Source organism: Homo sapiens, chromosome 18, assembly GCF_000001405.40.
Source record: "Homo sapiens chromosome 18, GRCh38.p14 Primary Assembly".
Taxonomy (NCBI): Eukaryota; Metazoa; Chordata; class Mammalia; order Primates; family Hominidae; genus Homo; species Homo sapiens.
Window position 1 is genome coordinate 36,242,506 of NC_000018.10, and position 23,889 is coordinate 36,266,394.

Consider the following 23,889-nt stretch of genomic DNA (forward strand, 5'->3'; position numbering starts at 1 on the left):
ATTTTCAAGTATCTTTGTAGCCATGCCCCAAACTCCTGGTACCAATTTACTGTATTAGTCCATTGTCACACTGCTATAAAGAAATATCTGAGACTGGGTAATTTATAAAGGAAGCAGTTTAATTGACTCACAGTTCCACATGGCTGGAGAGGCCTCAAGAAACTTACAATCATGGTGGAAGGTGAAGGGGAAGCAAGGACATTTTTCACATGGTGGCAGGAGAGAGAAGGGGGTAGGAGGAACTTCCAAACACTTATAAAACCATCAGATCTCATGAGAACTCACTGTCATGAGAATATCAGAGGGAAAACTGCCCCTGTGATCCAATCACCTTCCTCCCTTTATGAGTGGGGATTACAATTCAAGATGAGATTTGGATGGGGACATAGAGCCAAACCATATCAGATTTGTTTCCATTTGTTTGTGTCATCTATGATTTCTTTCAGCAGTGTTTTATTGTTTTCCTTGTAGGTATCTTTTCCTCCTTGGTTAGGTATATTGCTAAGTATTTTAATTTTTTTTTGCAGCTGTGGTAAAAGGGAATGAGTTCTTGATTTGATTCTCAGCTTGGTCACTGTTGGTGTGTAGCAGTGCTACTGATTTGTGTACGTTGATTTTGTATCCTGAAACTTTACTAACTTCATTTATCAGATCTGGGAGCTTTTTGGATGAGTCTTTAAGGTTTTTTAGGTATACAGTTATATCATTGGCAAACAGGGACAGTTTGACATCCTCTTTACCGATTTGGATGCCCTTTATTTCTTTCTCTTGTCTGATTGCTCTGGCTACAACTTTGCTGAGGGTTTTAATCATAAAGCGTTGCTGGATTTTGTTAAATGTTTTTTCTGCATCTATTGAGATAATCACATGATTTTTGTTTTTACTCCTGTTTATGTGGCATATCACATTTATTGACTTGTGTAAGTTAAACCAACTCTGCATCACTGGTATGAAACCCAGTTGATCATGGTGTCTTATCTTTATGATATGCTGTTGAATTTAGTTAGCTAGGATTTTGTTGAGGATTTTTGCATCTATATTCATCAGGGATATTTGTCTGTAGTTTTCTTTTTTTGTTGTTATGTCCTTTCCTGGTTTTGGTATTAGGGTGATACTGGCTTTATAGAATGATTTAGGGAGGATTCCCTCTGTCTCTGCCTTTTGAAATAGTTTCAGTAGGATTGGTACCAGTTCTTCTTTGAATGTCTGACAGAATTCAGCTGTGAATCCATCTGGTCCTGGACTTTTTTTATGTTGGCAGCTTTTTTATTACCATTTCAGTCTCGCTACTTGTTATTGGTCTGTTCATAGTTTCTATTTCTTCCTGGTTTAATCTAGGAGGGTTGTATATTTCCAGGAATTTATCCATCTTCTCTAGGTTTTCTAGTTTGTGTGCATAAAGGTGTTCATAGTTGCCTTGAATGATCTTTTGTATTTCTGTGGTTTCAATTGTAATATTGCCCATTTCATTTCTAATTGATCTTATTTGAATCTTCTCTCTTCTTTTCTTGGTTAATCACACTAATGATCTATTGGTTTTGTTTATTTTTTCAAAGAACCAGCTTTTTGTTCTATTTATCTTTTGTGTTGTTTTTTGTTTGTTTCAATTTCATTTAGTGTTACTCTGATCTTTGTTATTTCTTTTTTTTTCTGTTTGGTTTGGGTTTGATTTTTTCTTTATTCTCTAGTTTTTTGAGGTGTGACCTTAGATTATTTATTTGTGCTCTTTCAGACTTTTTGATGTAGGCATTTACTGCTATGAACTTTCCTTTTAGCAGTACTTTTGCTGTATCCCACAGGTTGTGATTGGTTGTGTCACTGTTATCATTCAGTTCAAAGAATTTTTTAAATTCCATCTTGATTTCATTGTTGACCCAAGGATCAGTCAGGAGCAGATTATTTAATTTCCATGTCTTTGTATAGTTTCGAGAGTTCTTTTTGGAGTTAATTTCCAATTTTGTTCCACTGTGGTCTGAAAGGGTACTTGATCTAATTTCAATTTTCTTAAATGTATTGAGACTTGTTTTATGGCCATGATATGGTTCATCTTGGAGAATATTACATGTGCCAGTTAAAAGAATGTATACTCTGCAGTTGTTGGGTAGAATTTTCATAAATATCTGTTAAGTCCATTTGTTTTAGGGTATAGTTTAAGTCCATTGATTCTTTGTTGACCTGTCTTGATGACCTGTCTAATGCTGTCAGTGGAGTATTGAAGTCTCCCACTATTATTGTGTTGTCATGTATCTCATTTCTTAGGTCTAGTAGCAATTGTTTTATAAATTTGAGAACTCCAATTCCGGTGTTAGGTGTATATAGATTTAGAATTGGGACACTTTCCTGTTGGACTGTTCTTTTTATTATTATATAATATTCCTCTTTGTCTTTTTAAACTGTTGTTGCTTTAAAGTTTGTTTTGTCTGCTATAAGAATAGCTACTCCTGCTCACTTTTGGTTTCCATTTTCATGGAATATCTTTTTCCACCCCTTTCATCAAGTTTATATGAGTCCTTGTGTGTTAGGTGAGTCTCTTGAAGACAGTAGATACTTGGTTGGTGGATTTTTATCCATTCTGCCATTCTGCCTCTTTTAAGTGGAACATTTAGGCCATTTACATTCAAACATTACTATTGAGATATGAGGTACTGTTCTATTCATCATGCTAGTTGTTGCCTGAATACCTTTTTTTTATTGTGTTATTGTTTTATAAGCTGTGTGAGCTTTATGCTTTAAGGAAGTTCTATTTTTGGTGTATTTCAAAGTTTTGTTTTAAGATTTAGGACTTCTTTTACCATTTTTTTTGTAGTGCTGGATTGTAGTCACAAATTTTGTCAGCATTTCTTTTTCTAAAAACGACTTTATCTTTCCTTCATTTATGAAGCTTTGTTTCACTGGATGCAAAATTCTTGGCTGATAATTATTTTGTTTAAGGAGGCTGAAGATAGGACCCCAATCCCTTCTGACTTGCAAGGTTTCTGCTGAGAAATCTGCTGTTAATCTGTTAGGTTTTCCTTTTGGGTTACTGATGCTTTTGCCTCACAGCTCTTTAGATTCTTTCCTTCATCTTGACTTTAGCTAACCTGATGACTATGTGCCTAGGTAATAATCCTTTTGCTATGAATTTCCCAGGTGTTCTTTAAGCTTTTTATATGTGGATGTCTAGATCTCTAGTGAGATCAGAGAAGTTTTCCTTGATTATTCCCTCAAATAAGTTTTCCAAAGTTTTAGATTTCTCTTCTTCCTCAGGGACACCAATTATTCTTATGTTTGGTCATTTAAAATAATCCAAAATTTCATGGAGACTTTGTTCATTTTTTAAAATTCTTTTTTATTTGTCTTTTGGATTGGGTTAATTTGAAAGCGTTGTCTTTGGGCTCTGAAGTTCTTTCTTCTACTTTTTCAATACTATTGCTGAAACTTTCCTGTGTATTTTGCATTTCTCTAAGTGTGTCTTTCATTTCCAGAAGTTGTGATCATCTTTTCTTTATGATATCTATTTCTCTGGAGACTTTTTCATCCATATCCTGTATTTTTTTAAATTTCTTTAAATTAGTTTTCACTTTTCTCTGGTGCCTCCTTAAGTAGCTTAATAGTCAACCTTCTGAATTCTTTTTCTGGCAATTCAGAGATTTCCTCTTGGTTTAGATCCATTGCTGGAGAGCTAGAGTGATCTTTTGATGGTGTTATAGAACCTTGTTTTATCATATTACCAGAATGACTTTTCTGGTTACTTCTTGTTTGGGGAGACTGTTTCTGTGGGAAGATATGGGACTCAAGGGCTGCTATTCACATTCTTTTGTCCCAGGGGTGCTCCCTTGATGTGGTGCTCTCCCCCTTCCTCTAAGGATACGGCTTCTAAAAAGCCAGACTGCAGTGATTGTTATTGCCTTTCTGGTTCTAGCCATTTAGCAGGATTCTGGGGCTCCAGGGTGGTGCTAAGAACTGTCTGCAAAGAGTCCTGTGATGTGATTCATCTTCACGTCTTCCAGCTATGGATACCAGCACCTGCTCTAGTGAAGGTGGCGGGGAGTAAAGTGGACTCTGTTGGGAGTCCTTGGTTGTAGTTTTGTTTTAGTGTGCTGGTTTTAGTCCTTGGTTGTAGTTTTGTTTAGTGCGGTGGTTTTCTCAAATGCTGGTTATGCTAGCAGTGAAGTTGTCACATGGACAGACTCAGGACCTCTGGTTAACCAGGGTGTTGCAGGTGGTGAAATTAGCTGTTGTTTTCTCCTTCTTTGGAGCAGAGTTGTTCTCTTATGAGTTGCTGTAATGGCTTGAGTTGATTGGCCTCCAGCCAGAAGGTGCTGCTTTCAAGAGAGCACCAGCTGCAGCAGTAGAAGGGGGATATAATTTTGCCCTGCCTTGGCTAGGATAGGTACTTGGCTTCCTCAGGTAATGAACAGGGCCATAGAGCTCCCAAGAGACCATGTCATTTGTCTTTGGCTATCAGGGCAAGTAGAGAGAAACCATCAGGTGGGGGCAGGTTAGGTGGGTCTGAGATCATACTCTCCTTGGGCAGGACTTGCTGTGGCCACTCTGGGGGTGGGGGGCTGGTTCTTGGGCAAATGGAGTTATGTTCCCAGGGGAATTATGGCTGTTTCTGCTGTGTCAAATAGGTCTCCAGAGACATGGGGGAAAGCTGGCATTGAAAGACCTCACCCAGCTCCCACACAGCCAGCAAGGCCAGTCTCACTCCCACTGTGCCTCCCCAGCAGCACTGAGGTTTCTGTACAGGCATCTGGTAAGCAGGGCTGAGATCTTGCCCCAGGCTACAAGCCTCCTGCTGAGAAAGCAAGCAGGGCTCTCAGGCCTTGCTCCTCCCTGCCTGCCAGGACAGTTGGCTGCAGCTTCTACGCTTGTATCTTTACTTCCCATTTGTCTCCTCTTCTGCATTCTACTTAGGAAAGTTTGTGCTCAGTTAAAATCATTACAAAGTCAAGCTAGGAGCTTCCTTCACCCTGTGGCCCCTCTCCAATTCCACTGGCTGCCTTCCCTTCCCCAAGAACCCCTGTGAGATAAGTCCAGGAATGGCTTTCCTGGGGTTCAAGCTGGAGACCAGGAGTCCCTACAGGGCTCTTCCTGCTGCTGCTTCTACTTTTATATTTTGCTTGGCTGCCTAAATCCATTTCAGCTCTAGGTAAGGGTAAATCTTTCCCTTGTCATCTGGATTTTCAGGTTCCCCAATGGGGATGTGTGTTCGGAGACCAACTTCTCACCTTCTCACACTTTGGGAACTCAAATTTTTGGCCATCTTGTGTTTGCAGCAGCAAGCTGCTTCTTTCAAAGTGTCTGTGAATTCTATCAGTTTTCCTGATATGTTCCTGCAGCGGTTCATGCAGCAAAAGTTCACAGTGTGAGTCTCTACATGCTGTTCTGTCTGTCTAACTGGGAGCTGTACATTAGTCCTGTCTCCTATCCACTGTTCTTTTTTTCCTCTGATTTTCCTTTCCTTTGGATAAATACCCAGAAGTGGGATTGCTGGATCATACGGTATTTTTATTTTTAGTTTTCTGAAGAACCTCAGTAGTGTTTTCCATGATGGCTGTACTAATTCACATTCCTACCAACAGTGTGTCAGAGTTCCCCTTTCTCTGCATCCTCACCAGCATTTGTTATTTTTTGTCATTCTGGTAATAGCCATTCTAACTGGGGTAAGATCTCATTGTGGTTTTGGTTTGCATTCCCCTGATGATTAGTGATGTTGAACATTAAAAAAAAATTGATTAGCCATTTGCATGTCTTCTTTCAAGAAATATCTATTCAGATTATTTGCTCATTTAAAAAAATTGAATTACTTGTTTTTTTTCACTGTTGAGTTGTTGATTTCCTATTTGGTTATTAATCCCTTGCTGGATGGATGCTTTGCAAACATTTCCTCTCATTCTGTTGGTTGTCTCTTCATTCTGTTGTTTCCCTTGTTGTGCAGAAGCTTTTTAGTTTGCTATAATTCTGTTTCTCTATTTTGGCTTTTGAGGCTGATGCTTTTGAGGTCTCATCCAAAAATTGTTTGCCCAGACCAATGTCTTGAAGCAGTTCCCCAATGTTTTCTTCTAGTAGTTTAATAATTTGGGGTCTTAGATTTAAATCTCTAATCCATTTTGAGTTGATTTGTGTATATGGTGAAAAATAGGGGTCTAGTTTTCTTCTTCTGCATATGGTTATCTAGTTTTCCCAGCATCATTTATTGAAGAGAACTCTTCTTGCTCCAATGTTTGTTCTTGACACCTTTGTCAGAAATCACCTGACTGTAAATGTGTGGATTTATATTTTGGTTCTGTATCCTGTCACATTGGTCTATGTGTCTATTTTTATGTCAGTACCATGCTGTTTTGGTTACTACAGCTTTGTAGTATATTTTGAAGTCAAGTAGCTGTTGTTTTTACATAATGATAAATTTGTTTTTAACCTTTGTTCATTAGGGATGGAGCCTATAGAGGTGCCTCTTGAGGAAAATAGTGAACGGACTCAGATTCGCCAAAGCAGGGTCTGTGCTGACAGGTGAGACTCTGAAGCACGTGAAAATCTCAGCTTTATTGACAGGCTGGCACAGAGGGGGAAGAGGGTAATGCCCTATGCAATCTATCCTTTGCTACCCTTCAGTCCAGTTGCTGTCCATTTCTCCCTTGCATGCTTCTCTCTAACCACACTCTTGGCTCTTTGGTCTTCAAACCTCCCAAGCATGCTCCCTTCTCAGGTCTTTGCACTTGCTGTTCCCTCTGCCTGGTGCTCTTCCCCTAGTTATACCTCCACAGGGCTGTTCTCTCACCTCTGTCAGTTTCATCTCCAACAGGTCTCTGTTCAAAAGCCCCCTTCTCAGAGGGCCACATGACTACCCACAGAAAACAACCTCTCCCTCTTCATTTCCCCTTTTGTATTCATCTCCTTTGCCTTTGTTGTTTCCAAGTTAATATATATCTGTTTATTGATCTTTAGTCCCTCCCACTAGAATGCCCATGTTGTTCCCTTCAGAGCCTGGGACAGTGTCAAGAGGACAGTGTGGGGTGGGAAGAAAAGGTGACACAGAAGGAACAGTCTGGAGGGCACTGCAACACTCCAGAGGAGGCCTCATAGGGAGGGAAAAGACCTGATTTGCATGTTGAGAAGACCAGCTGGTGCCTGTGGAGCAGTTGGAAGGGGGAAGGGGTGCAAGCAGGAAGGCCACATAAGCACCTGTGTTAGCAACACAGGTGAGACAAGATGGAGGCTTGGACCAGGGTCAGAGAGAAAGTCAGGAAGCTGCAGGTATGTATTCTGGAAATAGAATAACCTGAACTAGCTGATGATTGGATAAGGAAGCTGAGGGTGAGGGGGGTTATCAAGACATCTCTCAGGTTTCTAAAACCTAGCTTTCAGGTGATAACTCACAGATTATATACCCATATTATGGGTTATTATCTAATCTGGTTTGCTGATGATAAATCATCTACTGAATTCTAGGAAATGTAAAGTGGGGTTGAATGTAATAGCATTGCTATTTTGTTTATTGATTGTACATGTTTCTAAGTCTTTTTATTGAATAAATCAAATGTCTGCATCCCTTGTTATCTAATCTTATCTGTACCTGAATACATGTGGAATAGCAAATTTTCCAATCTTGGGAAATTTATCCTATCTTAAGCCCCAACCAATTCCCCTTTCACCCCCGCCCATATACTAAAACAGTTAACTATATAACACTTCACTAAAGATTTATGTATAATAAAAAACCTTCAGAGTGCTGATTGCCTACCAGTTAACACAATGCACTCATTAGTGGGTAGGTCTGTGCTCAGTAGATGGTGATACTGCATGGTATCAAACCATATTGCACGTCTTTGTGCACTGCCCTGAACATATGCTGTCATGCAAGGCAGGAAATGGTATGTTAAATGCTAAAGCTACATCCAAGTTGGACCCCAGTCGTTAGTGCTCTGGGTGATAGGCAGAGGATCACTCTGGGAGTGTGAAGGGCTATACCCCCAGGAAAGCACAAAGGTGATGATGTGATGATTGTGCTTGACACAGTGGAGAATCCTGGGCCCTGGTCCCAGGATGCCTTGGAGGCTAAAGAGTGAAGCACACTCTACATCTTCTTACCAGTACTTGCACCAATGTCACCAACTTACACATTCATTTAGCACATTTTCAGTCAGAACAATACATTTTGGATAAACAAAATTCTAGAGGATTCTTGAGTTTTCAAACACCAGATTGGTAAATGCAGTACTTATATCTGTAACTCACAGGCACAGTGTTCATTTTACAAACCAAACACGTCAGTCCATGTGAGAGAAGATATTTCAATCAGGCCCATAGTGAACAAATAGGACATATTTCTGGGTTCAAGGGCTTCTGAAAGCAACATATCACTCTGGAAGTTCTCAAATTCTAAGCATTCTAAGCTTTGTGGTTCTCTGTGTCAATAATTAATAGTAAAAAGGTCTTTCCAGGAGAAATGTTGAAGCTTTTTATTTGGTCTGAAAGCTTCACATAAGCCCCAGATGGCAGGTCGTCCTGCCTTGGAAATCTCCTTGCAGCATCTGTCACTTCAGGCTGCCTTCAGGGCTCATGCAATGTTTTGTTTTATTTTATTTTGTAACCAAACTTTTTGCAATTCAGATTATTATTTAAATAAATACTATGTAACAGTTCACTCTTTCTCTCTCTCTTTTGCCAGAGTAAGTACTTATGATTGTGGAGAAAAAATTTCAAGCTGGTTGTCAACATTTTTTGGCCGTCCTTGTCATTTGATCAAACAAAGTTCAAACTCTCAAAGGAATGCAAAGAAGAAACATGGAAAAGGTATTACATTTTGAATTGGTTCGTAGAGAACAGGAACCCTGGCTTACCCTTGCACACATCAAAACAGCCCATGAACTGCACTTACGGGTGACTTGCTGATGTATGGAAAGCAGGGGTCATCAGCCTTTAGCAGAAACCTACTGCAGTAGCCCCAGGTCAGCAGGCGAAATGGGCTCCAGGATCTTCTTAAGGAGGCTGAGGAGGGCATAAAGCCAGCTGTCCAGCCTCTGCCCAAACATTCAGCCTTAGTCCTGCATGTTCAAAAGCATAATTAATCCAATTGTATTAAATAAAAACCCTAATAGCTTGCTATGTCCTCAGATTGGATCTGGAAGCAAGGAAACCTGGCTTGCTAGTTTTTAGCTCTATCACCAATCAATGGCGTGACCTTGGTGAATCCTTGAACCCCATGGTGCCTCAACTTCTATAGACCTCAGCTCCTCAGACTTTCAAAAGTTTCCACAATTTTTCCCACCTTAAGCCATTGTTAGGATGAAGTGAGGCAGTAGAGATGAAAGTACTTTGAAAGTTAACAGTCCCAGGTGTGCAGAAAAGATCATTTTCATGTGTCCGCTCAAATGTCACCTCCTTAGGGAAGCCTGGCTGACTACCCTCTTCAGAACAGCACCCTGTACCTGAATCTGCAGCAACGTAGCAACCTTCCCTGTCTCATTTTTCTCAGTGGCACATTTTTTTCACATTCTTCTTGCTATATATTTTGCTCACTTATTTTGTTCTGTTTTCCTTTTAGTAGATGTAAGCAATCTCTATGAGGATAGGGATTGTTGCCTGTTTTTTTCAGTGCTGTCTCCCCATGCTTAAAATAGCACCTGGCACATAGTTGCTCAATACATGGCTAGATGAATGAATGAATGATTACCAGTTTGTTCAGATATTACCTGGCCTAGTGATCAGTTCCCAGAGGAACTAGTTTGTAATCCAAATAGCATTTAGAGTTTGGGTGTGGTAGCTCACACCTGTAATCCCAGCACTTTGGGAGGCTGAGGAGGGAGGATTGGTTAAGCCCAGGAGTTCAAGACCAGCCTGGGCAACATGGCAAGACTCTATATCTGCAAAATAAGATACAAAAATTATGAAACCGTATCTCTTCAAAAAATACAAAAATGAGCCAAGTATGCTGGTGCATGCCTATAGTCCCAGCTACTTGGGAGGCTGAGGTGGGAGGATCACTTGAGCCTGGGAGGTGGAGGTTGCAGTGAGTTGAGATCACACCACTGTAGTCCAGCCTGGGTGACAAAGCGAGACTCTGTCTCAAAAAAAAATTTAAAAAATTGCTAGGTGTGGTGGCATGCACCTGTAGTCCCAGCTGCTTGGGAGACTGAGATGGGAGGATCTTTTGAACCCAGGAGTTCGAGGCTGCAGTGAGTTATCATCACACCAGTGCACTCCAGCCTGGCTGACAGCAATATTTTATGTTTCATGTTTCTAAAACATAAATAAACCAAATGGCATTTGACCATATATGGACTGAAAACTGGGTCTAAGGCCCTGCATAGTTTAACCTACAAATCCCTGAAAGTGTATGCTATAGAGAGGAGTCAAAGGATGTAATGTACTTAGAGTTTTTAAAGTTCTGATGATTTTCACGCCATAAGCTGTTAAGAATTTGAGTTGCTGTGTGATAGAAAAGGGGAATAGATTTATACTCATTTTATTGAAGTTAGATGGTGGTGGTTGGGGTATGGATAAGCTTAGAGACATGATTAAAGGGAGAGAGAAATAGGCATTTCCAGGGGTAGAGGCATGAAAGGAGTAGGATTTGTCAGGACCTGTGTACCACCCTTGTAAATTATCTGGAGAAGTGAGCAGCAGTGAAATCTCTAAGTGCCAATTATTCATAGCACCCATTGCCTACCTGGGGTTTACTGGGTTTCAGGAGGCTGGCTGAGATAGTTAAGCCTTAGTCCTGGTCCTTTGGAGTCTCCGTTGGTGAGATCAATTGCCAGCAGATAGCAATGCTGCAACGTAAGAGATGTAATAAAGGTCTATGCGAAGGGCAGAATCCTCTACACCTGGAATGAGTCACAGAGGGCTTCAGGGAGGAGGTGAGTTTGGAGCTGCAACTTAAAAGGAGAGTAGGAGGCCAGGCGCGGTGGCTCACGCCTGTAGTCCCAGGACTTTGGGAGGCCGAGGCGGGCAGATCACGAGGTCAGGAGTTCAAGACCAGCCTGGCCAACATGGTGAAACCCCATCTCTACTAAAAATACAAAAATTAGCCGGGCATGGTGGCAAGTGCCTGTAATCCCAGCTACTTGGGAGGCTGAGGCAGGAGAATTGCTTGAACCCAGGAGGCAGAGGTTGCAGTGAGCCAAGACCACGCCACTGCACTCCAGCCTGGTGATAGAGCAAGACTCTGTCTCAAAAAAAAAAAAAAGGAGAGTACGAATTTTTCAGGCAGTCACAGGCGGGATGGTTACCAGGGAGCAGCATGGCAGGGCTTGGCATTCATGGGCTCAGAGAAGGGTTTAGAGGGTCAGATGTGAGCAGGGGAGTGACGGGGGATAGATGGGGAGAAGGGTTGAGTGTGCCACTGAGGAGTCAGTAGTCCTTTACCTGTGGCTGCGGAACTCACTGGAGGATTCTAAGCCGAGAAGCTTCATAACACTGCTTATGTTAGAAAGTCAGCCCTGACTTGGCGAGGTGGCTGCATCGAGTGGGAAACTCAGGCAGTAAAGGCACAGGTGGGAGGCAGCTGGGACTGTCCTGGTGGGAGATGGGGCCTTGGTGGAACAAAGGTGGTAGGTGCAGAGGAAAGAAGAAAGCCTGTCTTCCTGCTCCCTGCACGATGCAGAATCAGGGAGTGTCAGCTTGTGACTGTTTACACTTAGAGGACACCCCTTAGGGTCCCATGTTCTCTGGCAGTCTAAGCCATTGGTCTTGAAACAGTTTTTTTGAGTTGGTATACCTTAGAAGGATTTTTTAAAACTATATTCCTCACTCATACTAAAATTTTTACGTTGTCATCTAAATTTTAAAAATAGTTTAAACAGCTACAAAGGATGTGATTTCCAGTATATTGTAAACATTGTCATTTTAAATTTAAACTTGTACATTGTTCTTTTCAACAAAGCCAGTAGAATCTCAATACTGCAGCATTTTTTTAAACCACAACAATTTGAATCTCGTGAGTATTCATTACAAAATACATTATCTCTGTGTGTGTGTGTGTGTGTGTGTGTGTGTGTGTGTGTGTGTATAGAGAGAGAGAGAGCGAGAGGGAGAGAGAGAGAGAACAAACTGTCCTTTAATAGTCAGTTTTATTTCTTTCCTTTTCATATATATGTGTGTGTGTATATATATATACACACACACATATATATATGAACGAACTGTCTTTTAGTGGTCAGTCTTTTATTTCTTTCCTTTTCCTTCTGCAACTTGTATTTCCTTTCCATGCCCTCAACAGAATTTTATCTTAGTGTTATATATTCTGTGCTTGGAAATCTTTCATTGACTACTACCCTATCATACTTCTGTGAAATTAAAATGTGTATATAAATTGACATGGATAAACATTTTTTAAAGTTTACTGTGATTGTAAGAGTTTAAGTGCTAGGAAATTTCTTCTGCATTGAGTTCTTATTTTTTATTTTTTATTTTTAATAGAGATGGGGTTTCGCCATGTTGCCCAGGCTGGTCTCCAACTTTTGAGTTCAAGCAGTCCTCTCACCTTGGCCTCCCAAAGTGCTGGGACTACAGGCATGAGCCTTTGCACCCAGCCCATAATTTTTCGTAGTACACAGTTGATCAAAGCAACATAAGTATATTATAACTTTTGAAAAATAATTATTAAACGTAAGAAAAAAATTAGCGAAAATGAGCCTCTTAATGAGGTGGCTGGGCACCCTGCCATTTGTTCCTATTCCCATGAATGACTGTCACTCATGGCCAGAATAGCTGGTGCTCAGCCTCGGGTCTCTTCTGAGACGCTTAAATAAAGGGCTAGGGAAAGGAGTTTCGTTAGTGCAGTGTCACTCAAACCTTGCTTCTGAAGTATGTGACCGAAGCACTGGACTCTAAGATTGAAATGCCTTTCATCATCTGTCTCTTGACAACTTAATTAGGTCCTGCAGTTTTGTGGAGAGCAAATAATTGGAATCCATCTGACCTACAGGAGGATCATTTGCCCAAGCTTTAGAGACTTTTATTTTCTCAGCTCGGACTCCAGGGTTTTGAATGGGGCTTTTGTCTTCCACTCTGGAGATTGTTGGTCCCTGAGGGAGTGTGCTTTAGGAGACCTTGGCCTTTCCTCTGTGAAAGAGGAAGGGTCTTTGTGGACAGGGCTGGGATTGCACCTCCCTTCTCTGGCAGAGCCGTTTTAGCAAAGAGGATATATGCAAGTGGCAGATCTGGAGGGCAGTTCTCTCAAAAGTATCCGTTTGCGTCTACTCTGGGGTCCACACACCTGATTTGGAAACAACTCAGTAGGTCCTGGTCCAGGCAAACCTTTTCTTCAATATCTTGGATAATGATAGTGATGCCGGGCCTGCCAAAGGGAGATGGGAACTGGGTGATAGGGTGCCAGCTATTCTGAATACACTTAATATTTTCTTTCAATAGTTTCGTCCCCCTTTTAGTAGTTTTTTTTTTTTTTTTTTTTAGACAGTTTTGCAGTTTCACTCTTATTGCTCAGACTGGAGTGCAATAGTGTGATCTCGGCTCACTGCAACCTTCATCTCCTGAGTTCAAGAGATCCTCCTGCCTCAGCCTCCTGAGTAGCTAAGATTAAAGGCAAGTGGCACTGCGCCCAGCTAATTTTGTATTTTTACTAGAGATGGGGTTTCTCCATGTTGGTCAGGCTGGTCTTGAACTCCCGACCTCAGGTGATCCTCCTGCCTCGGCCTCCCAAAGTGCTGGGATTACAGGAGTGAGCCACCGCGCCTAGCCCTCCCTTTTAGTAGTTTTTAAACATCTACTATCTATTTCTAAACTCAATATCTGGCACTTGCCCAAGGGCAAACAGCTTTTCCCTGATTAGATTCAGAAGCTCTTCCTGGGCCTTTTGCCCTCACCAGGGCTCTCTGCCTTGCTCCGTCCTATCCAGGGAAAGGATGCGCCTGCTGTCATCCCTCCTCCTCGAAGTCTTGCCTCCAAGTCTAATTTGCTGGAACAATTTCATCTCAGCATTTTTCATTTTATTTTTTTAATTTTCTAAATTTTTTTGAGACAGAGTGTTGCTGTGTCACCCAGGCTAGAGTGCAGTGGTGTGATCTCGGCTCACTGCAACCTCTGCCTCATGGGTTCAAGTGATTCTCCTGCCTCAGCCTCCTGGGTAGCAGGGATTACAGGTGTGTACTACCACACCTGGCTAATTTTTGTATTTTTGGTAGAGACAGGGTTTCACCATGTTGGTCAGGCTGGTGTCGAATTCCTGGCTTCATGTAACCCTCCCACCTCAGCCTCCCAAAGTGCTGAGCCACTGTGCCCAGCCCTTATTGTTATTTTCTCCACGTTATTTTAAACAGAGTATTCTAGAATCTCCTTTTGCCTCTTTATTGAGAGATATGCACCATGCTTAGGACATTTTTATTATTGCCAGGACATCACTTTTTTTCCCTTGTAGAAATAGTCTCTACCTTTTAAAAAAATACAAGTCTATGGAAACATGATTCACTGGCATTCTGAGAAAGCAACTCTTCTTTTAAATGCTCCATCATTTTCAGATCAACTTCCTGGTACAATGGCCACCCTTTCTCTGGTGAATGAGGCACAGTATCTGCTGATCAACACATCCAGTATTTTGGAACTTCACCGGCAACTAAACACCAGGTAAGACCTCATACCTCGGGACTAGCAGACAAGCATAACCATTTGCCACTGGGAGCAGGGCCTGGCACCTGCCTGGAGCGGAGAGATCTGAGAGTCATGAAGTTCAGCCCTGCTTCATGTACAGATGAGAAACTGAGGCCCTGAGAAGTAAGCAGGCCCTTTTGTCCAGCTTCCATTCATCTTTATAGAGGGTTATCTTTTATCTTACAAAGATCCTTTTTGATATCCTCAAGATGGTTAATGGAGAACCCCTAGCTCTCACTGTTTAATCATTCAATTTCTTAATGTTTGTTTTAATTGAATTGCCACCAACTTGACTAACTTTTATTGCCCACCCTCCCACTATCCCCTGTCCCCGAGGATCTCTGCCCTACTTCACACAGTCATTTTAAAGGCTAAAAAAGAGTGGTTATGAAAGCTTTTAAAGTTGTAATTGCAGGCACACTTTATTTGAAAGATGCACCACAGATGGAATTAGCACCCCTCCCTGCCCACTCCCACCCAGTGCTCTCCCAAGGACCCTAACAGCATTGGGAGGTCAGCTCCAGAAAGGGTCATGGTTGGGCCAACCCTCTCGTTGTTCTTTAGAGCAAACTGAAGTCCCAAGGTAGCCAGGCAATGAGGAAAAATCACCCAGCTCTCATGCCACAGGGTGACTGGGACGGGCTCCTCATTCCTGGTCCACAGGCCAGAGATGAGTGTTGTTAGTGGCTCACCCCTAACAGCACTGTGAACTGGGGGTCCTGTGACTGTCTTGCACCACGTGGTCAAGTACACACACATACATATTTGCAAAGACATACAAATACAGTTTAATAAAGCTGACTAAGCCACCTCGTCCGCCTCTGCAGGGATGGGCTATTTGTAGTCACTCTTGTTTCTATCCATTGTTGAAAATATACAACATCATTCTCATACTGTGGCCCAGCTCGCTATCTTTGAGAGCAAAAGTGTGATGCAGCCACATGTTCTCTGGGTATTCACTGAGTTCTTCTGGCACTGAGGGACCCTTCTCCTCAGGCATCCAGAGTCCTGGAAAAAGTGGGTCTGCAGTTTTTTGGGGTTCTTCGTGTGGAAAGATAGGAGGTGGGGAGAGGCTTGCTGTCACCCCAGTTCCTACCAGGAGGGGCCACGTTCCCCACCATCTGGTTTATAGCAGGGTGGACCCGCTGGGCAGCTGATCCAAGAGCAGAGCTAGGGTCCCCTGCTAGGTATTTCTCTGTGCTTTATTTGCAAATTTGAGGGACTCTATCATGCACATGTTAACCATGATAGCTTTTGGACATAAAACATGCCCTTTTACGAAGCCCAAAGTGAGGGTTTATAACCCAGAGAGTTGATCCAGAATCAAAGGATTTGAGGACTGGAAAAGTGCTAATCCTCTTGTTGCAGATGAGGAAATTGTGGTCCTCATAGGTTGTGGGAGTTGCCCTTAGTAAGTGGCAAAACCAGACTCAGGTATCCCGGTCTCTGGCTTTTCATACGTTGTTTGCCATTCAAAGGAGATTGGGACTCCTCCTTCCCAACCCCATAGTCTTTCAACCCTGTCTCTGGCGCATACTCTAACCATGCCTGAGGATTTACCTCACACCAACTTAAGCAATTAAAAATTGATTGAAGCACAAAAAAGTGCAAAAGTCATCAGTACACAGTTAAATACAGTTTTACAGATGTATACGGCTATGCTCCATCATTTTCAGATCAATCTCCTGGTACAACAGCCACCCTTCCTCTGTTGAATGAGGCAAAGTATCTGCTGATAAACACATTAAGTGTTTTGGATCTTCACCAGCAACTACCACTACCTAGATCAAGCTAAGAATGTACTCCAGAAACCTCCCTTGTATCCCATCCCAGTCAGCCTCACTGAAGGTCACCACTATTCTGACTTCTTTCACCATAGCTAGTTTCACCCATTCTTCAACTTAATATGGTGGGATCATACAGGATGTGTTCTTTTGTCAGAGAAGTTTTAAGATGTATTTTCAGTGCGTTCTTCTGGGTGGGGGTGGGGGGTGCAGAGGGCCATTTTTTTTGGAACCTCATGGCAATAAATAAAAATTACAAAAATAAGAGTTACAAAAATAGGCTAGGCATGGTGGCTCACACCTGTAATCCCAGCACTTTGAGAGGCTGAGGTGGGAGGATCACTTGAGCCCAGGAGTTCAAACCCAGCCTGGGCAATATAGTGAGACCCCATCTCTAAAAAAAGTAAAAATAAGTTAGCTGGGCATGGTGGCACATGCTTGTAGTCCCACCTACTTGGGAGGCTGAGGCAGGAGAATTACTTGAGCCTGGGATCTTGGTCAAGGCTGCAATGAGCTGAGATTGTGCCACTGCACTCCAGTCTGGGTGACAGAGCAAGACCTTGTCTCAAAAAAAAAAAAAAAAAAGGTATCAGAAAAATAGCAGATGTTACACTGCAAATAGAATGGAAATTAGGAAATACTATCTTCTTTATTTATAATGTTTTAATACCCAAAAAAAAAAAAAAGAGTGAGATCTCAACACCTGTGAAAAGAAGGGGGAAAAAAGGGAATGAGATCTCAGTGCTTCTTAGGTCTTTGATCATTAAGCCTGTTGACAGGTTTTTAAATGCCTTATGCCGCCCCACCTTATAGAACTGGTGTGTTCTCAGAAGTTCCTTTTTCACTGGAGTTCTGTTCTTCTGATTTCCAAAGTCCTTCATCTCTTCAGCTAAGATCTGCTCGCCCTTTGCCTGGCTCTTGTGGGACTCTCACTGGAGATGGGACCGTATCCCAGGGGAGGCCCTGATGCCTGTTTAGCAGATGGGTGTCTCTTGGCCTTGCACTCATGGTAAAAGTCTGTTTTGATTATCCAGGGCACAGGCCACAGTAGAGCTGATGAAGTTAGGTGTTACATGGCAGGCATGATGAATTATTATAGTGGTACAATTATCTGCCATCCTCCCCCTACTTACTCTTTTTGGTTGCTTTAATCAGTGATGAGAATGGAAAGGAGGAATTATTCTCACTGAAGGATCTCAGCTTGCGTTTTCGTGCCAATATTATTATCAATGGAAAAAGGGCTTTTGAAGAAGAGAAATGGGATGAGATTTCAATTGGCTCTTTGCGTTTCCAGGTAAGTTTGGGGAAGTTCTATTATCCTTCCTCCAGGGTTGTCAATGAAGATTGACCTCAATCCCAGACCTGGATAGCTGCAGGTGGGACTCCCTCCCAGTCCTTGTCTCTTAACTACAAAATCTTGGTGGGAGGTTATGTAAGCTTAGCCTTCTAAGACACCCCATGGAATAATCCATCCTTTATTTCCCAAGAGGATGGTAGCAGTCAGTTTCGCACACACCACAGAAGGTGTGCGAGGGCTCGACACTGCCTCTGTGCTGTCGTTATGTCCAGACTTAAACTCTGGTTTTTTGGAATGCTTGTGTCATGAGACTGTCATCCTCCTGAAACTTGTTGGACTTTGTGGCAGTCTGGAGCTTGTGGAGGGAGGCCCAGAAGCCTGGCGGTGCCTCTTTGCCCATGGCCACCCACTCTTCCACACGCTTCACCTTTTCTGCCTTTGCTGGTGGCTGGGAAGGAGATTGTCAGAGGCAAAGCCACCACGATGTCCTCTGTCCCTGGCTTTGGACTCCCAAAACCTTTGGCTATGGGCTTCAAAGATATGAGAAAGAGGCGAAAGGTCTTAGGCTAAAATCTGTGCTCCTCACATGGTTGACAAGGCCCTACGAGATCCCATGCTGCCACTGTCTCTGAGCTCATCACCCCTTCCCTCTCTGCCTCCGTCACAGTGACCTTCTCTCTGTTCCCTAAACAGCCACCCTTCCTGCCTTAGCCCTTGCCATCCCTTCTGCTTAGCATGTTGTCCAAGGGTCTCAGCTCAGATGTCACCTTCTTGGAAAGGATGCCCCTGACCTGCCGCAGGGTCACGTTCTGCTTATTCCTGCAGTGTGTGGGAGGGTGAGACCAAGTCTGTTTTATTCCCTGCTGTACCTCTATGGCCTTGAATGACACTGGCCCAGAGTCAGTGCTCAATAAGTAATTGTTGAGGGAAGAAATGGACAGAAGAGATAAGGAATATCTAATGCCAGAGAATGTGCTCTGTTCTTTAGTGGGGGCTGAAATTATTTTTATAATACAGGCTGAACATCCTTAATCCAAAAATCTGAAATCTGAAATGCTCTAAAATATAAAACTTTTTGAGCACTGACATGACATTCAAAGAATATGACCACTGGAGCATTTTGGATTTCAGATTTTCAAATTAGGAATGCTCAACTGGTTAAGTATACCAGAGATATATAATGTAAATATTCCAAAATTAAAAAAAAAATCTCAAAATGCTTCTGGTGTCAAGCATATTGGATAAGGAATACTCAACCTGTGGTAGTGTAATTAGCCACTGGTATAAACTGACTATAACGAGCTACCTTGTATTCAGGCTCTGCACTCAGAAGGAACACCACTCTAACATCTAGGAAAGCAGTAAACAGTCATTTGAATCTTTATTAAAGAATTTTAGAGATCTGGGGTATAGGAAATAAATTGCATGGCACAATAAAATGTTCCAATGATGTTTTTGATGTTTTTAACTCCCTAGACTTCCTCTTACCCTGACAGTGGCTCCCCCTTGACAAGCAATCTATATTATGTCCTACATTCTCTCCCACAAGCCCATCTCAGGCACTAGCCCTCCTGCCGTTTCCCTCATCCCTCCATCCTTACTTACTCTTCCTTATTTTCTATCCCTGTGTCTCTGCCATGTTTTTTAAAAAAATGCCTACTGTTACACATCCTGCTGGGAACAAAATAGACACTAAATATACATTATCAAATAGGTGGAGAGTGAGAGGAAGAAAGGAAGAAAAAAAAGGGAAGAGAACTAGAACTAGACTGAGATTACTCTCAGAAACTTACCTGGCAACAGTAGCACCTGTGCCTCTCCAGGTATCTCGAGACATAAATATAAGGAAGACTCTTTAAGGAACCTTTCTGAGATGACTTAGCAGGCTTTGCTTTCTTTAGGTCACCATTCTTAATAGACCACAACTAGTAAAAATCAAAATATGCATGCCCTTTGACTCAATAATTTCACTTGTAGAAATCTATCCCATAGAAACGCTAATACAAGTATTAAAATAAGTATAAAATTATTTTCACCAGCCTGGGCAGCATAGCAAGACTTCGTCTCTCTCTACACACACACACACACACACACACACGAAAAATTAGCCAGGCACGGTGATGTGCGCCTGTAGTCTCAGCTCCTTGAGGTGGGAGGATTGCTTGAGCCCAGGAGCTCAAGCCTGTAGTGAATCAAGATTGCCCCACTGTACTCTAGGCTGGGTCTCAGAGCAAGATCCTGTCAGTCAATCAGTCAATCAATAATAGCTATATGCATTAGTCCAGCACGAGCATTAAAGAGCATAAGATATGGTTAATACTGCACCTTTCTTTTTTTTGAGACAGGGTCTTACTCTGTTGTCCAGGCTAGAGTACAGTGGTGCAATCTTGGCTCATTGCAACCTCTGCCTCTCAGGTTCAAGCAATCCTCCTGCCTCAGCCTCCTGAGTAGCTGGGACTACAGGCGTGCACCACCACACCTGGCTAAATTTTTTATTTTTGGTAGAGATGGGATTTCACCATGTTGGCCAGACTGGTTTCAACCTCCTGGGCTCAAGTGACGTGCTAGCCTCAGCCTCCCAGTGTTGGGATTATAGGCATAGGCCACCACGCTTGGCAATACTGTGCCTTTCAAGAAAGTAAATGCTTGGCTGGGCACAGTGGCTCATGCCTGAAATCCCAATGCTTTAGGAGGCCAAGGAAGGAGGATCACTTGAGCTCACAAGTTTGAGACCAGCCTAGGCAAAACAGCAAGACTTTATCTCTACAGAATATTAAAAAATTAGCTGGGCATGGTGGTACATCCCTGTGGTCTCAGCTACTCAGGAGGCTGAGGTGGGAGGATTGCTTGAGCCTGGGAAATGAAGGCTGCAGTGAGCTATGATGAAGCCACTGCCCTCCAGCCTGGGTGACAGAGCAAGACCCTGTCTCAAAAAAAAGCAAATGCTCAAAAGATGTTTGTTGATGATAATACTCAGTGCCGAAGCAATTACTGTGAAACTAGCACATCTCTTTTGGAAAACAATTTTTTACTGGATGTCATCAAGTCATAAATATTTTTTATTCCTGTTGACCTTATAATTTCATTTTGGGAGACTGATACTACAAAAAAAATGAAAAGGAAAGACAGTTATGTGAATTAGGCCTTTATTGCAAAATTATTGATCACAGGAAAGCATTAGAAACTATTCACATGGCTTCAAAGGAGAAGAACTAAGTGTTTCAACCCATGGAATGCCAGGCCATCCATTGTGAAAATTGCAAAATGCAAGGATGAGGTGGCTTTCTATGTCCTGACTGGAAGGATGTCCTTGCATATTGCAGAGTAATTGAAAAAGAAACCCAAGTGGGCTCTGAGATCCCAGCGAGTGTGTTTACACAGGTGCACATACACAGTTGTATGCAGTTACATGACACAGTCTGGGATGGTCTGGGATGGTTTGGATGTCCTAGGATGGCCGGGGACAATCTGGGATGTCCTGGGATGGTCTGCAGCCCATGAGCAGCACCTGTCTCTGTGGATGGGGAGAGGGGGATCACTGCTGTTGAGTGCTTTCTCTTTTAATTCTTCAAGCTTCTGTATTGTTTGACTTGTTTTTTAATGAATATATATGCTAGTAAACACATTTTAAAAATACTAGTTGCTAAGAATACCAGAAAAGAAGCTTTAAAATGAAGATTTTTTAAGAAAATTGTTTCTTTTGTATTGGTGTTTGGGGCTGGGTGCGGTGGCTCATGCCTATAATCCCAGCACTTTGGGAGACTGAGGTGCTCGGATCACCTGAGGTCAGGAGTTTGACACCAGCCTGACCAACATGCAGAACCCGTCTCTACTAAAAATATGAAAATTAGGTGGGCGTGGTGGCTGGTGCCTGTAATCCCAGTTACTCAGGAGGCTGAGGTAGGAGAATCGCTTGAACACAGGAGGTGGAGTTTGCAGAGAGCTGCCTGGGTGACAAGAGTGAAACTCCAGTCTGGGTGATAAGAGTGAAACTTCACCTCACAAAGAAAAAAAAAGGTAAAAGAAAATAGTGTCCAGAAAATGCCCCTTTCTTCTGCTAGTTTGAGAAACTGTTCTAAGAGGGCCTTTCATTGAAGTGACAGGATTTTTACAGAAGTTGTTGCCTGTCGGGTGGCTGCTAGAGGCTGGGGCTGGTGCAAGCTGCAGGGCCCTGGCATCCTTTCTGCAGGAGCTGGCCCCATGCATCAGCTGTTTTCTAGGCAAAGAGGTAAGAGGTAAGAGGGTGCAGGAGCCACACTGGCTCCTCGAGGACACAGCTTTGTGGCGTTACAAAAGCCTCGTTCCACTGCAGGGATCCTCGTGTATAATAGTGATAGTTTCCACTCTCGAGCACGGTCAAGTGCCAGGCCTGGGCTTGAGTCCTTGTATCCCTGATGTAGTTCTCACCAAATACAGCCAAGAATCTAGACAAGGAAACGATATCTGGAGAGGTCACAGGTTTGCCAAGTCCTTGGTAGAGCTCCTTTCCAGCAAGTTCTGGGTGCTTACGTGGCCTGGGAATCTTGACTTCGGTACCACAGGGAGCATATATTTCCGCTGATTTAGTACCCAGTGCAGAATGTGAGCGTCAACCTAAAAAAAAAAATTAGAGCTTTGTACAGTGCCAGTATCAGAGCCAATGAGGTTTTTCTGAGGTGTGATTATTGCTAATTGAAAACTTTTCCCAATTAAAAACAAAAACAAAATAAAATTTAAAAAACACACCAGAGAAAATGATCTCCTAATGTGACGAATTTATTCAGGAGTAAGCAAAAAGGATTATAAACTAGGATGCATAGCTATGGCAAGCCACAGGTGCACCTGAAGAGGAGAGAGTAAGGGAAAGCTTTTATTGGCAAAAATAAAGTCATACAAGCTGCTTGAAAACAGAATTTATTGGTTCCTGGGGCTCACAGCCAGAATTGGCATCAGTTCATTGGTGGAGACGCTGTTACTGGGCAAATGTTCCTTTAAGAGCATCTTATCTGAACTGCTGCAGTCCTGAAGAATGTCTAGTGATAAACCCTGTCTAGAAATACGTGCATACATGCAAGACATGGATCATGAAAAGCATGAGATGCATGAAGGACATGGAGGAATTTCTTGTGGGATTATTTTAGAAAGTCCTTGAGACAGTCGTTATCTCAGAAATGCAAGCATGAACTCCCTGCCTTCGTGCCATCCTGGCTCCAATTTCTTCGGGTCTAATCAGTGATTTCATCCTGGTATCTGCAACTTTCACACCAGTAACAGGAACAGGCCAAGACACATCCAGATTAGGTGAGTGTTTCTAATTTCAGTGCATAATTTGTATTTGCCCGTGAGTGAGCTGAGGAGAAAATGGTTATGAGAAAATAGTTTTAAGAAAATCAAGTACCTTTGCACTTTTTACATGTGCAATAAAAGAAGCATCTCGTTATTGCTGAGCTGCATGCTTTCTTTTTGATGTTTATATTATGGGGGATTTTAAGCTCCACCAGACAGTATGACCTGTATTAAGAAATTGTAACAATGCGTTTTAAGTATTGTGTATGTGTGGCATGTAGGCGTGGGTACGTATGGATATATATATATATATATATGCATACAGATATGTATATTAAAAATAATTTTGTTTCCTACTTATTACAGTTACAAAAACAATTCCCCATTTTATTTAAAGGTTTTTATAGATTCCTTTTAATACGTGCATGATATAATTTTAATGCCTGAACCGTATACATCATATATATGTAGCATGGTTTACTTAACCATTTCTCTCCACTATATGACGTTAATGATGTTAACAAGTTTTTCCTATTATGAACAATGTGAGGATAAATCTTTGTCCATGACTGTGGTTGGGCTTCTCGTTCCTTTCTTAGGTTGGATTTTTAGATGTGAAGTTGCTGGGTCAGCGGGCATTGACACATGAAAGTTCTCTCTGATGACCTTCTCACAGGGGCCAGCGCTGGCTCTGCGACCTCCTCCTCCTCTTTCTTCTTTCTTGCTCTGTTGCCCAGGCTGCAGTGCAGTGGTGCGTTCTTGGCTTACTGCCACCTCCGCCTCCCGGGTTCAAGTGATTCTTCTTCCTCAGCCTCCTGGGTAGATGGGATTACAGGCATGCATCACCACGCCTGGGTAATTTTTGTATTTTTAGTAGAGACAGGGTTTTGTCATGATGTCCAGGCTGGTCCTGAACTCCTGGCCTCAAGTGAACAGTCCGCCTCTGCCTCC

General features: G+C 42.4%; 1 protein-coding gene and 1 pseudogene across 1 annotated transcript in view, besides 1 other annotated feature; both read left to right on the forward strand.

Annotated features, from left to right (window-relative positions):
• MOCOS (molybdenum cofactor sulfurase) overlaps nucleotides 1-23,889 on the forward strand; it is an 84,661-nt gene that overhangs the window by 55,009 nt on the left and 5,763 nt on the right. Inside the window, exons 10-13 of the mRNA NM_017947.4 lie at nucleotides 6,417-6,495; nucleotides 8,654-8,778; nucleotides 14,463-14,568; nucleotides 17,532-17,670. Of these exons, the coding sequence (NP_060417.4) occupies nucleotides 6,417-6,495; nucleotides 8,654-8,778; nucleotides 14,463-14,568; nucleotides 17,532-17,670 (449 nt within the window). The remainder of the gene's footprint in view (nucleotides 1-6,416; nucleotides 6,496-8,653; nucleotides 8,779-14,462; nucleotides 14,569-17,531; nucleotides 17,671-23,889) is intronic.
• Nucleotides 4,689-5,189: an enhancer, noted in NCBI's record as "H3K4me1 hESC enhancer chr18:33827157-33827657 (GRCh37/hg19 assembly coordinates)". NCBI's record gives its function as "activates a minimal SCP1, AML or CMV promoter by ChIP-STARR-seq in naive H9 embryonic stem cells {active_cell/tissue: H9 hESC(naive)}" and the evidence as "EXISTENCE:reporter gene assay evidence [ECO:0000049][PMID:30033119]".
• Nucleotides 22,232-22,434, forward strand: RNU4-3P (RNA, U4 small nuclear 3, pseudogene; annotated as a pseudogene).